The 18,153-nt window shown below is 48.3% G+C and overlaps 3 annotated features.

Moving 5' to 3' along the window:
• Window positions 8,222-8,744: an enhancer, noted in NCBI's record as "H3K4me1 hESC enhancer chr6:40289806-40290328 (GRCh37/hg19 assembly coordinates)". NCBI's record gives its function as "activates a minimal SCP1, AML or CMV promoter by ChIP-STARR-seq in naive H9 embryonic stem cells {active_cell/tissue: H9 hESC(naive)}" and the evidence as "EXISTENCE:reporter gene assay evidence [ECO:0000049][PMID:30033119]".
• Window positions 15,842-16,480: an enhancer, noted in NCBI's record as "H3K27ac-H3K4me1 hESC enhancer chr6:40297426-40298064 (GRCh37/hg19 assembly coordinates)". NCBI's record gives its function as "activates a minimal SCP1, AML or CMV promoter by ChIP-STARR-seq in naive H9 embryonic stem cells {active_cell/tissue: H9 hESC(naive)}" and the evidence as "EXISTENCE:reporter gene assay evidence [ECO:0000049][PMID:30033119]".
• Window positions 16,481-17,119: an enhancer, noted in NCBI's record as "H3K27ac-H3K4me1 hESC enhancer chr6:40298065-40298703 (GRCh37/hg19 assembly coordinates)". NCBI's record gives its function as "activates a minimal SCP1, AML or CMV promoter by ChIP-STARR-seq in naive and primed H9 embryonic stem cells {active_cell/tissue: H9 hESC(naive and primed)}" and the evidence as "EXISTENCE:reporter gene assay evidence [ECO:0000049][PMID:30033119]".

Below are 18,153 nucleotides of genomic sequence, written 5' to 3' on the forward strand. Positions count from 1 at the left end.
TTTGCTTCTGCAAGGCTCCTGGTGACATCATCAAGGCAGAATCACTGGCAAATTTCACATGGGTTTATTAGATTAAATATGAATCTTTAAGGACATGCCACCATGGCCAGCATAGATTTTTTTCCAGTTCCCCTGAAGCCCACTTTTCCTTTCCTTTACTATTGCAAGTATTTTAGGACCCCATCTCTACAAAAAATTTTAAAAAGTAGCTAGCTAAGCATGATGGCATGTGCCTGTAGCCCTAGCTACTTGGGAGGCTGGGGTGGGAGGATCACTTGAGCTCAGGAGTTCTAGGCTGCAGAGAGCTATGATTGTGCCATTGCATTCCAGCCTGGGCAACAGAATTAGACCTTATCGAAAAGAAAAAAGAAAAAAACAAAACGATTTTGTAAGAAGCATTTGCTCTATATTCTACTCTGGTTCCAGTGTTCCAATGTGTAAAAGTTTGCCACATTTTAACCTAAGTTAGTTTTCTTAACTACCTTCTTTTTTATGCGAGGTACCCCAAGCAGCCTTAAAAGAGTGGGCACCTGTGTTCAAAGAGGGAGGTAAATAAATGAAAGGAAACAAAAAAATTTTCATAAAAAAAGAAAAATTGTGCCTGGGTTTGTACCTGTTGGCAAGAAAAATATTCCATATGACTAACAACTAAAGTTCTTTCTAAACCATTTAGTAACTCTCAGTGCTATCTCCATAAGCAAATTACAAGTTTATTTTATCTTTTTTCTTAAAGTAAGTATGTTCCTCAACCTGAAAATGGCTTAACATCTACCTTAAGTTATTGTAGGCCTTAAGAAGCAATTCTCCAAAAATCTGTTTCCTGGAAATAATGAACTCAGCTTTCTCAGTAGTTCAGCATTCTTTTCTACCTGGTTAGTTTGCAAATGTGTGGTTTGACAATCTCTACATTAGAGCTGTTGTATTTGCTATCTATTGTCACAATAATGCTATCTAAGAAACCATCCCAAAACTCAGTGGCTTTAAACCATGAACATTTACACAGTAGGTCAGTGATTTAGGTGAGGCTTAGCTGTATGGTTCTTCTGATCCCAGCCAGGTTTGCTCATATGCCTGGAGCCTGGAGGTGGGCTAGCAATCGGCTGCTGCAAGCTACCCTTGGCCAGCGGGACTGAGAAACTTGGCTCTGCTCCATGTTCTCTCATCCACCAACAGGCTGTACTGGGCATATTCTCATGGCAAGGTCAGTGGTTCAAGAAAGCACCTTTTCAAGCCTCAGTTGTATTTTACCCACAAATATCTCCTTGGCCAAAGCCAGTCACATGGCAAACCCAGAGTCGAGAGATGGAGTATATCACCCCACCAGGTGACATAATGGTGGCAAAGTTACACAGCAAAGGGCATGAGTACCAGGAGAAGCAAATAATTGGAGCCAAGTGATGTAATCCATAACAGCTGGTGTCCGGGCAGCCCTCTCACAGGAGCCATGCCAGGCAGCTGGTCTAATCATCCATTAGGGTGTCCCTTGGTGACCAGAGCAGGAATGAACAGAACCCTCCTTCCTCAATCCTATTTGGGCCTTAGCGTCAGAGTCAATGTGTCTGACTCCCTCTCGCGCTCCTCACCTGCCCTGGATTAAAACTGCTAGTAACACAATTTTATAGTTTTCAGGGACCACCTAGGAAGGCAGCAGTCAAGCAGGGCTGATCTCCCTGCATCCAACACATCCACTTCCAAGCTCAGGCCAGAGTGGCTGCTTAGGTATCTGGGCATGCTACCGAAAATAAAATGTGGCTGGAGTTCAATCACTTGAAAACAGAACACCATTTCTTTCCTGAATTACCTGAGGGCATGTTAATAGATGGCTGTAGAGAATCTTTCAAATCTTCCATTCATCAATACCATGCCAAGGAAGGAAGCATAAATCAGAAAGCAGTTATAAGAAATTGTACACGGATGCAGCAAAGCTCAAGGTCAGTGCCCAGGCCATGCACCTGCCTTCCATACACCCAGAGCCCACAACAGGGCTGGGTGCACACCTGCTGTGTGCCTAATATGTGACCCCTGGCCTCTACTTCATAAGCAGAGAGCTGTTACACCTGTAGCTTGAGAAAGGCGAGGAGAATACCTGCGAGGGCTTTGGTTTAAACCCTCCGTATAGGATATATTTGTCAGAACTGTCATGGGAGCAGCTGACAGAAATCTAACTCAAGGTAGCTTAAATAGAATGAGAGATTTACTGTCTCGTGAAACCAAATAACGATGAAGGCCAGCAAAGAATACCGGGAGCCACAGACACAACTGTCAGAAGCTTTGCCTCTTTCCCTCTCTCTCCTCTACTTCCCAGCTTTTCCCTGTGTGAAGTCTCATCTCACCATTTTTCTCCACATTGTAGGTAGACGGGTCGGAGTTGTTGAGAAACTGATCAATGACCAGTTCTGAACACACATCCGTCTGGAAACTTTCTGGCCAGGCAGAAGAGGGCTCTCTCTTCTGAGCTCATGCTTGAAAATTCTAGGGAAAGGGTCTAATTCGCCAGGCCTGCATCATGTGAGCCATCCTGGGCTGATCACTGTGGCTGGAGTTGGGGTATGGAACAGGGGTGGGGCACCAGTGGTTAGCAGCTCTCATCAGAACCACGTGCATTTAGGAAGATGAGGAATACTGTTCTGGGCAGAATGAACCATGCACGTCCACCACAGAGGGCTGATTGTTCTAGCACAGGGACAGCTTTGAAGGTCCTCACCATGAGGTTCCTCACCTACAGAGCCTCACCAGCTTATGGGTGATGAGCACAGATATAGATTTTAAGCCACCCTTTTCTTGAGGAGAGGCTGGGCTTGGTCAAGTGAAATATGAATGGAGAAGGAAAGTAGACAGGGACTATCGTTTTCTTAAGTGTGCCAGGTACTGTCGAAGGCACTCAACAAGGCTTGTCTCCCCTGTTGATCACCTGAGAGATATTAATCTTTTTTGTTGTTGTTTGACACAGAGTCTCGCTCTGTGACCCAGGTTGGAGTGCAGTGGCACAATCTCAGCTTACTGCAGCCTCAAGCTCCTGGACTCAAGCAATTCTCCCGCCTCAGCCTCCCAAGTAGCTGGAAACTACATGCAAGCACCATCACACCCAGCTAACTTTTGTATTTTTAGTACAGACAGAGTTTTGCCATGTTTGCCAGTCTGGTCTCAAACTCCTAGGTTCAAGTGATCCACCTGACTTGCCCTCCCAAAGTGCTGTTATTACAGGCACAAGCCACCACACACAGCCAAGAGATAGATTCTTAGACCCATTTTACTAGTGAAGAATACTAAGGCTCAGAAAGGGAAAGTGAGTTACCCAAGGTTACACAGTGTTGGAGTGGGCACTTGAAATAAGCCTTCCTGACCACTCCGTATCAGCTCAGCTCTATAGATAATCTAACCACACTGTTAAACCATTTCTGAGCGTCAGCAACTCCACTGCTGTGTATTTACTCTAAAGAAATGATGGCTTATGGCCATGGAAAAACATGCATGAGAATGTTCACACCAACTTTATTCCTAATGGCCCCAGACTGGAAACAAGTCAATATCTATCCACGATAGAATGAATAAATAATTTGTGGCATATTCATACATGGAATACCACACAGCAAGGAAAAAGAACACACTATTTTGGGAGGCAGAGGTGGGTGGATCACCTGAGGTCAGGAGTTCGAGACCATGCCTGGCCAACATGGCAAAACCCTGTCTCTACTAAAAATACAAAAATTAGCTGAGTGTGATGGTGCTTGCATGTAGTTCCAGCTACTCGGGAGGCTGAGATGAGAGAATTGCTTGACTCTGGGAGCTTGAGGCTGCAGTAAGCTGAGACTATGCCACTGCACTCCAACCTGGGTCACAGAGCGAGACCCTGTCTCAAACAATAACAAGTGTGCTGGTGTGTGCCTGTAATCCCAGCTACTCGGGAGGCTGAGGCAGGAGAATTGCTTGAACCTGGGAGACAGAGGTTGCAGTGAGCCAAGGTCATGCCATTGCACTCCAGCCTGGGAGACAAAAGCGAAATTCCATCTCAAAAAAAAAAAAAAAAAAAAAAGAATGGACTATTTTTACCTGCAACAGCATGGATGAATCTCACAGATATTTTGTTGAGTAAAAGAAGCCAGGCACAAAAAAGAACATACTATGTACACTCACTTATATGAAGTTCAAGAAGAGGGAAAGCTAATGTTGGTGACGGGGACCAGACTAGTGGTTATCTCTGGGGTGGGTAGAGACTGGAAAGGAGCATCAGGAAGCCTGGGAGGCTCAAAAACTAGATATCTTGATAGGGGTGGTGATTTTGCAGGTCTCTACACAGATAAGAATTCATCAAGTTGTACATTTATGTTCCGTATACTTTATGTATATCATACCTCAATTAAAAAAATTCATTCACAAGTTTGATAGACAAAAGTTCTAAGCCCTTCAAGTCTATGCTATTCTTTATTAATTAATTTCTGTTTTCCAAAGAGAACCCGAGGATTCCCCTACCTGAGGTTTGAGGTAGAGGCTCCCATTCATTTCTCCGCGTATCTCTGCACGGGTGCTTTAGCTAGACCTTAACTGAGAGACCACTCTGGGGGCTCTCCTCTCCCCTTACTCCACCTCCCAGATTCCAACAAGGGAAATCCCCAGGTTCCAAAGGGACTTCCTCCTTTTCTGAGCTCCACCATCAGGATAAGTTGGGGCTGGGGATGGCCGCTTTCAGCACACCTTCCTCCCGAGCCAGGTGGCTCTTGTGTGGCCAGAAGGAAACAAAGCTCCCAGGGGCACTGAGCTGGGGAGTGGATGCCTGGCACAGCACCATCAGTAGGAACATCTTCATGGAAGGTGATGGAACCAGACACAGGACCCACGTCTACAGTGGCCAAAACACAGTAGGAAAGGGCTCTGTTTTGCACTTGCTTCGCAGGTCGCTAGTTCCTTCCTTATCTACCGAATTACCTTGATCCTGCCCATATCTATCTTCTCACCAGTAAAATGGACCCAGAATACCTAATCACAGAGTTATCTTGAGATAGAATTTCAAAAGGAGACTTTACAGAAGAGCCCATCTAGCTTATACATTGCCTTTGTGTAGATGAGAAAAAAGAAACCCTTCCTCAGGACATTTCATTGCCATCCATTGACTAGTTATCCTAATGTCCTGATTTCTCTAGAATAAGACACATTAGAGCCACCTGCCATAAAATGGCCATATTAAACTTTCAAATCTACAACATCTCTTATGTGACTGGTAACCACTAGGGTTGTGCAGCACACAACCTGAACAACCATACACATGGCCCTGTTTTCAGGATATGATGCACTATGCACAAATAAGGAACCTGCCCTGTTATTGTGGTCAGGAGCCTTAGGTAAATCCCTTTGTTCTTGCAGGGCATTGTCCTTGAGTTGGACTGAATTGTGCTCCCCTTCCAAAATTCATATGCAGAAGCCATAACCCCCATTGTGATGGTATTTGGAGATAGGACCTTAGGGAAATTAGATTTAGATGATGTCATGAGGGTGGGGTCCTCATGATGGGATTAGTGCCCTTATGAGAAGAGGAAAAGACACCAGAACTCTCTCTCTCTCTCTCTACTTTGTGAGCACATAGGAAGAAGACTTCAACTGCAAGCCAGGAAGAGACCCCTTGCTAAACTCTGACCATGTTGACATCCTGATCTCAGATTTCCAACCTCCAGAACAGTGGTAAAATAAATCCCTGGTGTTCAAACCACTCAGTCTATGGTATTTTCTTATGGCAGCTTAAGCCAAGACAGTTCTCATCATCTGTTAATGTAACTTTCCATGAAGAATTTATTGATAATTACTTAAGTTGTTATCTCTCTCAGGGACGTCTGAATTCTACAGTCTATTCATATCCAGGTACCAAAGAGTGAAGTGCTAATGACAGGCCTTGGAACAGCATTATAGTCAGTGGGGAGAGATGGATTCAAGGGAAATGGAGGGTGTTGGCACTCTTTGAAACAGCCTCCATCCTTCAATCACACTGTAGGCAACAGCCTCTTCTGCCCATGCCTGAAGATGGCCACGGATCTGCCCTGCTCTATGGGGAAGGAGCCTGATCCTGCAAGATACAAGGGGATTAAAGTCCCCAAGGCAGGAGTTTTCCATCCTTGCAGCCTCCTTCTGGCTATAAAATTAGACTTGCCAATTCCAAAGGAGCCATCTGGCAGGTGGGAAGAGTAGAGAGTGGGCCCTGACCCTCCAGGGACACCTGGCTTACAGACAATGAAGAAAGTCATCTAGTGAGCTTCCACGTGCCTCCTTCCCCCACAGTTTCTGTTTTAGCATTTTGGGAGGAAAAAGGCATTCTGGTGATGAAAGTGGGTCCTGCTCGGAGGAGAAGATGGCTGTCATTGTAGAGTGCTGCATCCCTGGGGAATCCACAGTCCTCTGAGCTCTGTGAGCTTTCCTAGCTAGGGCTCAAGCTGAGCCTCATGCAGTTCCTTGTCCAGTTGGCATCTCCCATGTGACCTCCACTGTGTGGGCACTGGGGAGACAAAGATGTGCAGGAATCCCCCCACCCACCCTGGGGGACCACAGCCCGCCGTGGGAGTTTGGCTCTTAGACAAATCATTACCGAAGGTGTGAGAAGTCCTGTGGGAGAAATAGGGAAAATGTAGGGCTGGGAGAACACAGAGGAGAAAGTAAGGAAGCCCTCTGGGTGGGGCACTCAGAGAGGGGGTCCCCGAGGAGGTCACACTTGAGCTGCATCTTGCCAGATAGGCCATAGGTCACCAGGCAGAGGGTAGTGTGGGACCAGCCAAGGGTCATGGGGGAGGACTTGGAAATGGACAGACCCGGTGTCCAGGGAGGGGCAAGGTCCTAAAGGACATGTGACTGGACTGAGCTGTCTGGACTTTATCCACAGTAGGCATGGGAGCCATAGAGGATTTTAAACAAAGGCAGGGATACCTTCCCCAGTGGGGAACAGCATGTTCTTACCTGAAACCTTGGATCTCCCAGGAAGAAGCAGCATGAGTCTGGGCCCTCGGACCATCCTCCTTGGGGCCTGCCTTGCTGCTGGCATCTGAAGCCCACTCCTGGGCTCTATGCTGTATGAGCTGAGGCCCATTTTTGCTATAGATTCTCACAAGTCTTTCTGGAAACCTGCAGTGCAGCTTCTCCTATCACAGCTGAGGTATAGGATATTTCACCTCAGTTGGGAAGGGAGACTGTGGGCCCAGGACAGGGAAAAAGACCCAGCCACCAGCAGGGGAGAAGGGAAGAGAGGGAGGGAGGAGGGCAGGACCAGATACATCTCTGGGCATAGGTTCAAAGTAGAGGAAAGTGTTAGAAGCCTGGTAAAGGTCAGTGTTCACTATCTGGGACCAAACAGGGGTGTGGGCATAGCTCCAGGGTAATGGCCCTTGATTCTCTGTTTATAAGTAAACAGAGATACAGATAAATCTTGGGAGTCGATTTAGGTTTACTGGGATATGATTGGAGGCGTTAGTGCCTGTTGGGACCACACCCTCCATCCTCAAGGGGAAGGAGTAAGGTTTCTCCTAAAGAGAATGTCCTTACATCCTTTTCAGTCATACCTAGAAGAGTAGAGTCCTTGGTTAGAGACCTGGAATGCTGAAGGCAGTTCCTAGACAGCCAGAAGTAACATCAGTCTATCTCCAGGTCTTGTCCTCCTGGGTCTCAGTCACAAAAGGGCTCTTGCCCATGCAGGAGTTCTCTGCAGTAGGAATCAAAGTGGTGCCCACACCACGAGGCAGGCAGGGAGTGGGGATGGAAAGGGGCCAGACCACCCCAGAGGAGGAGAGCCTTGTGAACCAAATGGGCCAGTTGCATGAGATTCTCTGTATTTCTTTTCTTCCTATTATATCCCTGAGTTTCCTGCAAGGTCTTAGCTAACTGTCCCATGGTAATTACTGGGAGACCCTCAAGGGAAGGTGACTGTGGGGACAAAGGTAAGCACTCCAGCTCTCACTGCACTACCTTTCTAGCGATTCAACCCCCATCCCCACGCCCGCCGCCGCCGGTGGGTGACTTTGAAGGATCCAAGTTGTCTTAATGGGAGATGATGGTCGTTTTGTGATTGTAACATTTGGGAATCCAGGAATAGGTGACCTTTGAAAGAAGAAACTGTTAGTTCATATTGAGAAAGTAGCAGAACTTCCTACTCACTGCCCATCAGGCTGGGGGCAGGGCCAGAACTGGGTCCTGGGTTGGGCAGGGATGGAAGCGGGGAGGCTGAAGGGTCCCAGCCATGACTGTACCAAGTCAGGGTCTCAGGCTCTGGAACAAGACATTTGTATTCCTCTTTCTCTCCTAAAAATGTCTATGCAAAAATACACATGTACTCGCATGAATGAACCCAGGCAGGCACGCACACAACACATGTTTTTAACCAAGGAAACATCCCCCGCTCCGTTCCCAACAGACAGAGCTACAGGAAGGGACTCTGACTTCCGAATAATCTTGCAAACAAATAGCTTGACTTTAACTCCATTACCAGGGCTAATCTGTCCCGACTCCCACCTGATCTGCACAAGAAATGGGCTCATTCATAATGGATGGTGTGTGCACTTTGCAAAGTCCCCCAGAGGTATCAGTTAAGCAGTCTGCAGCGGCAGTTTCCTTAAGCAAAGGGAAGAGGCTGAGACAAGTCTCCCAGGATAAGGTCAGGCCCGGAGGGAAAATGGGTACAATGACTCCTCCCCTCCCCCTCACCCATTGGGCTGCCCTGTGCCTTTCAGTGCTCCACTCAGCTGGCTCTGCACCGCGCTCACAGCCTTCAGCACGTCTCCCCTGGGCAGCTCCACAGCCGCTCCGGCCGGGTCCCTCCATCTCGATTTACAGGCAGGAGGACAGGGAGTCTGAGGAAATGATTTTAGAGGGCAATAGTTCTTCTAGGACTGTGGTTCTCAAGCTTCAGGGTCTATCAGAATCCACTGGAGGGCTTGACAAAACTCAAGCTGCTCCCCCACCCCCTCCCCACCATTCTAGAGCTTCTGACTTAGAGTTCCAGGTGGGCCTGAGAATTTCATTTCTAGCAAAGCTTCCAGGTGCAGCTGCTGCTGGTCCGAGGACCACACTTTGAGAACCACTGGTCTAGCTCCTGACTTGGCACCAGAATCCCTCTGCCACCTTCCTCACAGGTAAAGTCAGAAATTGCATGTGCTTCCTCTTATTAGATGCCTCTTCCTACCAGTCCCCACTCTCTCTTGTGCTTTGTTTTCTTGTCTGTCTGTCCTTCCAGAATGTAAGTCCCTAGAAAACAGGATATGTCTTAGTCTCCTGTGTGTTCCCAGGACTGTAAACATACCAGGAAAAGCTTCAGCAAGAGGTATATACCACTAGGGGAACAGTGGTTACCCACCCCCAGGAAGAAGCAGGATCAGGGTGGGATGTCACTACTGAAGAATTGTTACTTTTTAATACTCTAATCTGCTATATCGTTTGGATTTTAAAAATGAGAATGATCCATGTGTTAATGGGTGATTAAAAAGTAATGGAAGAAAACCGAATTTATTGACTAAAGCATCCTCTCTGAAGGTACTAACTCTGCTGTCCCACACTCCCACGGAGTCTCAAATGTGTTCAGCTAAATAGCATTACTGCCAGGTGCTGCTGAAAGAGCTTTAAATATACAGACTTATTTAGTACTTACAACAGCCACATGAGGTGAGGACTATGTCTTATCCCTGTTCCTTATATGAGGAAGCTGAGGCCCAGAGACGCTAGTTAGCTTACCCAAGGCCAGGTGTCTCATTTGCAGTAGAGTTGACATTCACCCCTCAACAGGCTAGTTCTGGGAGTTGTGATCTTGACCCCTGGTGGAGCTGTACCACCTAGAAGTTGAGGTTCAGCAAAAGATGGAATCCTATTTATTTACACCTAACCCACTTTGCTCTAAAGAGGATTCGAGGGGACTGCTATCTGATTTAGTTATCCAAAGCTTATATTGCCTAGAAATGTTACCTTTAATTAAAAAAAAGCCATCAAAGCAGACATGATCAGTGGCCTCTGAGATTTTCTGTTCCTATTGTTTTTTCACCAATATACTGGCAAGCATGCAGCAGCAGGTGCCAAAAGGAGAGAAAAATTTATAGGGGGAGGACTTTAAATACAGAACATTCTATTCATTAACTTGATTTCTTTTGTGCACTGAAAAAAAGAGCTGCATGATTCAATTTTAGTGGAGGAAACCCTTGACCTTGCTCTGGGAACCCCTGAGTTCCCTAGCGGCAGAGCTTAGAGCGTCTGGCCTGGGGAATATTTTGTAATCATCTGAGGTGCTCAGCCCCCATCCAGCCTAAGGAGTGAATTTCTGCAGGGACTGGGAGGGGTGGTGTCTGGCATTGCTATGTTTAAACAAATCACCTCTGGTGATTGTAATGCACAGTCAGGGTTGAGAGCCACTGAGAAGATCCCTTACAATTTTAAAGTTTTGATCCTCACTCTAAGATCTCAGTTTTCTAATATTTTATGATTGTATCCCTCTCCCCCAGCCCAGAGTCCCGGCCCTGACTTTCCAATGGAAGTTGCTGGGGTGGTTTGGAATTTAATCACCTCCTTGGAAGCAGAGCCCAGCTCCCCAGGGGGCTGCTTGTTCACCCTGTGTGAGGCCAGCAGGTTTATTTACGGTTTCTGATTTTATTTATTGCCCCACCTCAGAGCTGCTCTTCTGCATACAGAGAACTCAGGCTGTCTGCTGCCTGTGCTGCTGGGGCCGCCATAAGCTGGGCTTGGATGGATGTGCAGCTTTAGTCCACCGAGTTGGCTGAGAAGCTGGTCGCCTTCCTGGGGGTGATTTTTGTGATGCAGCGAAGCCCTACCTGTTCCAAAACATCTCCCCCAAAGCTTCCCCAGCACAGGGGTTATGAATGGATGAGGCAACACAGGCCTTGCCTGCGGGAAGTTCTAGAAAAATTCTGTTCTCACTTGGAGGGCTCAACTCTGCCTATCTTACCATTTGCCTTGGGACCCACCCAGGAGGGCAGCAGCTAGATCTTGCCCTGATGCATGTTTATTGCCCTCCATGGCCAAGGGCCGATGTGGAGGACACAGCCCTTTGGAAGGTGAGTGCAGGTGGTGGAGATCACAAAGGCTGGGTAGGAAGGAGACCACCGATGGTATCTGATTTCTGTTTTTCATATTCTCTGCCTCAGTTAGCATCCACTCTCTCTCCTCTTGTTCCTTCCCTCTCCCCCACCAGGGTCTTGCCATGTAGATGGTACAGCAGTCAGGGTCTAAACAGGAAAACAGAAATCAAGTTAATGGCAGGACATGACAGAAGGAAGGTAATGCAGTGACCTGGTTATAGGTGTTGGAGGGGCCAAGAGCCAAGTGGGACAGTGAAGAAACTTCAAAATCAGCAACCTCAAGAAGCTCCTGCCAGCTCGAGGGCTGGTGGCAGGGGAGTGGTGTTGACAGTGCCTGGGAGCCAGGGCCACCCATGAGAGCTGGAACCATGCCAGCCTACAGGTCAGGAGCTGAGGCCACTGCCAGAGGAGCCTCCCCAGAAAGGAGAGCAGGAAAGACACCTGCAGCTTCTCCCCCAAACCCTAAACTCCCCCAAGGGAAACAGAACCCAACAGGCATAGAGTCTGGAGTTGCAGAGGAGGGTGGGTGGTTGTATGTTTCGAGGAAGGGCCTTGAGGACAAACAGGCAGGAGACCAATACCAGGGAATTTCCAGACCACTGTGTACTGAGATTGTGAAGCAACTTCTTCAGGATCCCGCAGCCTGGTTAGGGACCTGGTTGGGGACCTGGTTTGGGACCTGGCTAGGGATGCAGCCAAGGATTTTACCCTGACTGCCCATCCTGGGTAGGATCTCTCTGGCTTTCTGTCCCAGCCCTCCTCTGTAGGACCAAGAGCTGCTTTGCAGACAGGTGGCTGAGGAAAAAGGTGTGGTCCCTGGCTGCTGGAATCAGTCAGTGTGAAGCGAGGGAGGGGTTGTGGGTAACAGCGCCTCTGCTTCCTCTCCACCTCTTTCACCCTGTTCCCACATTTCTTTTCATCTTCTTCACCTTCTGGGAACCCCTCCTACCATGTTCTTAAACCTATATCTTGGAGGTAATGGCCACTCCCGACCTTTTCTCTCTGGGATCCAGCCACTTGAGTTGCTATGGCAGAGACAATGCTCTGTGTTCACCTCCCCATTTCCTCTGTCTGAGCACGTGGCAAGGTTATATCTCCCAGCCTCCCTTGAGGTGAAGTTAACCCATCCATGTGACCCGTTCTGGCCAATGGGCTGTGGGCAGTGGATCCCCTCTGGTCCAAGGCACTTAAAACCAGGTGTGAGTTCTCCAAGTTCTCCTTTTCCTGCTACAGTAAGCTGAAGCCCACTCATGTTGACATGACATCAGTGGACAGAAGGGATCCTCAAGGAGAGGACAGCTGCCTTGGAGAATCAGACATCCTACACTGGACTTTACATGTGCAAAAAGTAAATTTTTATTGTATTAAGATACCAAGATTCAGAGGTTAATTTTAAAAACACACAAACAACAACAACAACAATAAAAACACATCATAGCCTGGTATTACCAAAACACAGTTGCTATATGCTATAATGATTTCTCCCAGAAACAGAGTGAGACCCCTCTTATATTCTTCCACAGGCCCCTGAGTGGCCCTTGTCCAGTTTAAGGCTGCAATCTCCATGGAGGCATCCCCAAGCCTGGCACAGTAGCTGGCACAAAAGAAAAACTGAGTAAATAGTTGTTGACTAAATGAACAAGTGAGTGAACTAATGAATAACCCAGGACCAGCTAAGAACATCTTAGAATGAGATCATGGTTTATCCTGGAGCACCAGAAGGAAAACACCCAGTCCAAGAGGGCGGAAATAGAATTCAGGGAAACCTTGACAGATTAGAAAAATGATCCATTCAGGATGGGTGAAATACAAGGCAAGGCTTGTAGAAATTCAACACAAGCCTCATCAATCCAGGGGGAGGTGAGGAGAAACCCAACGGGACCCAGGATCATAGGGGACTGGGAGTCTAATAACATCCTTAGGGAAGGACCAGCCTCTTCCATGCTGGGACAGGACCCAGGAAGGAGGAATCGGCACATGCCAGGCAGGGTGTGATCATCCCACTGCACTTGGCCTTCTCCCGGCATCTAATTTTAGCTGTCACATTTAAGAAGGATTTGGAAGCTCTGGAGCACAGCCAGAGCCAATAGGAGAAATGATGAAAGGTTGAAAAAAATAGAACCTGTAGGAAAAGTCCAGGAGAGGTGGGAGTTAAATGGGTCTGGGAGAGGCAGCTGTATGCAAATGAGCAGCTCTTTAGTTTGAGGAGGGTGGGGAAGCCAGAACTGGGGGACATTGATTTATACAGCAGCAAGAAAGGTTTAAGTTAGACTCCAGGAAGTGAAACTTGATGAAGGCTTCTGGTGAACTAAGTACTTCCCTTGGCTGCCCCCCTGCTCAGGAGGCCCTGGTAGACCCCTCCCTTGTCCCACAAGGGGCCAGGCATGAGGATGACTGGAAATGTGAAGTCCTAGAGGGCTGTAAAGGCAGGAACTATCTGATACTGTCCCTGGGTCATATGACAAGCAAGGAAAGAGTGTGAGCAGGGTCTGTCTGCTCTGGTTTCTGGGCCTGATGCAGGGGCTGGAGCAGATGACTTCTGTGGGTGGGGATTCCTCACATGGCATGAGGAAACAGTGATGTTTCAGGAATTGGATACTTTTCACATTTCCTCTAGGTTATCTCCCATATGGCTATATCCCTAGGAAATGTCTCACATCAGTTAAGGCAGTTGATGCATTCTAACTATGACCCTGGGATCAGCTTTAGGAAAGGGGTCGCCAAGGATTGACGGAGCCTAATGCATCCCAGGATGTCAGAACTAAAAGGATTGTGGCAGATTATCCAATCCAACCTCCCAACCCTTTGCAAGTGAAGACACTGAGCTCTGGGGAGCTTTCAGAAATTAGAACATCAGTGGTGAAATCAGCAGCATACCCAGGTCCCTGGATGTCTGACCCAGTGTTCCTCCAACCAGCTCATGTTTGACTCTCAAAGTGAGAGCCACGAGGCCAGGGAAGAGGTCAGGATGAACACAGAAGGATAGAGGCCTGGAAAGGGGTGATGGGGCCAGAAATGGGGAAGGGGCAGGAAGGAAAAGAGAAAAGAAAGCTTTCCCTCTCTTGGGCTGGGTGGTGAGAGGAGCCAGGCAAGATTTTCTGTTGTTTTAGAGAGAGCTAAGGGTAGAGGGCTGGTGTGGGAGGCAGGGCTGCTGAGGGGGGCCTCTCATGGGGGGCTCCTTTGGGGTCAGCACTTTCCTAGCTGGCTGGCTTCATCCACCCACCTTCCCTAGATTTCCCCACTTCCTACATTCTCACCTGCCCCTTCCGCCAGTTAATCTCTGAAACCACAGGAAGAGTGGGGTTCTGGGGGCAGATAGAGGAGGTACTGTGAACGGGGTGTGATGTCCTAGAGATGTCACCTGGAAACAGATGTGTATACCCCAGAGGATGCCTGAGCCCCCTCCAGGTCCCTCACCAACATCTCAAAGCACAAAATGGTATCCAGTGTGCTGAAGACCTACTCACGGTAAGGGCTGGAGCAGAGAGGAGGATCAAGAGGCTTCCAAGTATGCGTTCCCTGCCGGAGAAAGCCGGTCTGGTTTCCCTCGCTGGAGGGCCTCTCGATTCTCAGGCTTCCATCAATGTGTGAGCAGGAGCCTTGCACCAATGTCCCTCTCCCAGGTCACACACCTCTAGGACCTCTGCGTCCATCCTCCTGCCTAAGCATTTCCCTGACGCACCTCCAAGTGGCGTCCTCCTCTCCACAAGGGAGCAGTCTCTGGGCTTCCTCCAACTTTTCTCATGCTTTTAAGCTAAGCCACAGCCCCTCACTGGGATCTATGGAAGAAGGACCACTCCTAGCTGTGCTGGGGAAACTGCCAATGCAGTGATCTCCCCACTCCTCTACTTGTTCCTAGAGACCCTCCTCTATCTTATCTAGCTCACCGGCCCACCTGTCCTCTCCTCCCTTTCTTCCGTAAGGATGCTGCAGCCACCCCTGCACCTGGCCGCAAGAGGGCACCATGCCCTCACTGCCACCCCAGCTCTCCAGCCCACTCCTACCTCTGCCTTCCTTATAGTCCTGCCAGATCGCACTTGGCAGAAAGGAGCCAACTAGGAAATCCCAGGATAATCTAAGAGGTTTATGTCAAAAGGTTTACAAGGGAAAAGGTAGGTAAAAATAAGTGCCTGGCACTCTGCCAGCTGCTGGGGATTCAAAGGTGAATAAGACCCCTACCTGCCCACTTCTTAGTCTCAAAGAGGAGACAGGTAATTACTGTGCAGTAGGTGAGCCCAGGAGGGTAGAGAAATGCAGCCTGCTGATGTAACAGCCAAGAGGGGCTCCCTGCCCCCAACTTCACCAGGGGCTCAGGGAAGATTCCTAGAGGATTCCTGAAAGGTGAGTAGGAAGCAGCAGGTGAGGGAGACAAGGGCAAATCAGGAGGCAGGAACAGCAAGCCCGGGAGTGGGATCAGCATGAGCAGAGGTTGGGAGGCATGAAAGATTTAGAGTGGAACATAGGGTAAGTTGACTTTGTCATATTCCAGGCACCAGGTTCTGTTCCTCTCCTTTCCTGGTCTGAGGAATGCCCAACTGTGGGAGCTTTCAGTGCTACCCTAAGAAGCCTAGCAGAGTTCCCAGGCCCTCCTGCAGCCCTGCCCTCCTCCTTTTCTCTGGGGAGGAGCGGAGTGTCCGGGCTTGGGCGAAGGTGCTATCACTCAGTCCTCATGGTGTTCCCTGGATGGTGACCTCCTGATTCAGGTTGTTATTATTCCCATTTTGCTGATGAGAAACCAGGGGCTCAGGAAGATGGAGGAACCTGCGCAGGACTGCGTGGCAGAGCTAAGCCCCTCAGCCAGGGCTTCTGCCCCCAGCCCCTGTGGCCTGTGCTGCTTAGAAGGGACCGTATGGAAATCCCTCTCTCCCCATGTGGTCCAGAAGGCTGACACTAGCCATTTGAAGCAGATTTTTTTTTAATGGAGGCTTTCCAATTACAAAAGTAATAAATACTCATTATTTTAAAAATCAAACAATATAGAAATTCACAATATTCACAATATTGAAAGTAAAAGTATCTTATAATCCCACCTCTCTCTCCCCAAGGTAACTACTCTTAACAGTTTGATATGTATTTTTCTAGACTTTCCCATGGGTTTGCAAATATGATTGTACATTTTTAAAAAATGAAATTATGCTTTGCTGCAATTTGCTTTCTTCAACTTAACAGTCAGTCTTGAACTGTTCACATGCATGCATACTGATCTATAAAGTGGGGCTTCTTGTGATTCCCACTTATTGCTGAGGAAGCCAGGCTTCCTCAGGGAAGGTAAGCTTCCCCAACCACACAGCTCAGGAGGGACAGACTTACCAGCCCAGCCTGTCAAGATCTGGGGCAGCCAGTGGGGAGCTACACCCACCCACTCACTGCTTTTTCTCCCAGCAGCCTTCTCACTGTCCTCAGCTGCTAGGAATTTTTAGGAATGGATTTCTGTGTCATTTCTAATAGATCAGGAATATCCTAGCAAGACAGATTGTCAGAGCCTGTTGGGTGGTAAATCCAGGCTCATCCCTCTTGTATGCAGATCATTCCTTTTCCCCAGGAAGGAAGCTCTGGGTAGCAGCTCCCTGGGGGTGGGAGGTGGGGGCGGAATGAAGCAGCACAGGGCCGCTGACCCACCAGCCTCCTGAAATAGCCAAATATCCGGGCTGGTGAAGGCAAGTGCCACGAAATTCAGCCAGTAGCATCCCTTCACCTCTTGATCCTCAATGTGTGGTCTCAGGAGTAGCAGCCCTGGCATCCCTGGGGAGCTGGTTAGAAATGCAAAATCTCAGCCCACAGGCCAGACCCACTGAATCAGAATCAGCATTTTAACAAGATCCCTGGGGGAGTCCTATGCATAGTAAAGTATGAGTAGCTGGGGTTAGGCAGTATTCTGGTTCCTATAAAGCCAGCCCATGGCTTCTTTCCAGAAGTTTAGTTGATGAATTTGGTATTAGAAACTTAATAAGAGCTAGCAGTTACATGTAAGTTTCTATGTGCCAAGCAACATTGCAAGTGTCTTACTTATATGAACTCATTTAATCCTTACAAGGATGCTATGAGTTGAGGTATTATGATTATCCTGCTTTTACAGATGAAGAAACTGAGGTGCAGAAAATTTGCTTAATTTGCCTGAGGTCACATGCTAACCAGAGGGTGATCTGGGGCTTAAACTCAGGTCCTCCAGGATCTTAACCACCACAGCACACTGCCCTGCAAGTAGATGCACCCATCTGGCATGGAGCAGTTTTGACAGGTATCTCCAAGGTGGCATTTCTAAGTAGAGCTTGCCAACACATCTTGCTTTTCTCCCCCACCGTCTTCCCCCTTCCTAAAGACTGGTCACCTTGGAGAAGCTGCCAGAGCTCAACAGGAACCTCGCCACTGCTTTTGTGGTGATGCCAAGGCCAAGAAGTAATAGCAGCTTATTATATCTGCAAAACCCTTTATCATCTATTATGTCTCTTTATTCTCCAAGAACCAAGTGAGATGAGGCAGGTGTTACTATCCCCACCGGAAGAACAGGAAAGGAGCCTAGAGACACCCGGTGACTTAATCAAGGTCATGCAGAATGGAGGCTAGTAGCCAGGCCTCCTGACTTCTGGAGCATGTTCCTTTCATCTCTCTAGGATGCCCTCTTTTCTGGAAGACTCTATAGCAGTCCTCTCCACCCTGAAGGCAGCCAGCATCTCCTCTCAGTGCTTCTGCAGCTCTGCAGGGGAAACTGGGTCCCTGATGAAGCTTCAGCCTCTCTCCCAGGCTGCCTCCTGCCTGAAGCAATTATAAATCACGGCATTTTCCTTTCATTCAGACCTGATGTTTAATTCATCGCTATTCTGGCTGCTTTAATGCAGAGAACATTTATTCAGTGGAATAGCTTTGTTTTGCTTCCAAAGCTTTATTCTCCTGTTTAGAATACCATTGCTATTGCAGAGGGGGCTTCCTATTAGCCAGTTCAGAGACCCTCCCCCTCCTGCTCCCCAAGAGTGGCCCAGCCCTGCCATCTATGTGGACCCACCCCCGGGCTGAGAGTGAGCTTCACCTCCTGAGAAGGAGGAGTCCAGGCTTTTCTGTCCTTGGTCTAAGCACCTGACAATTTCAATTTGCTCACCACCTGCCTTTCTCC

Source organism: Homo sapiens, chromosome 6 (assembly GCF_000001405.40).
Source record: "Homo sapiens chromosome 6, GRCh38.p14 Primary Assembly".
Taxonomy (NCBI): domain Eukaryota; kingdom Metazoa; phylum Chordata; class Mammalia; order Primates; family Hominidae; genus Homo; species Homo sapiens.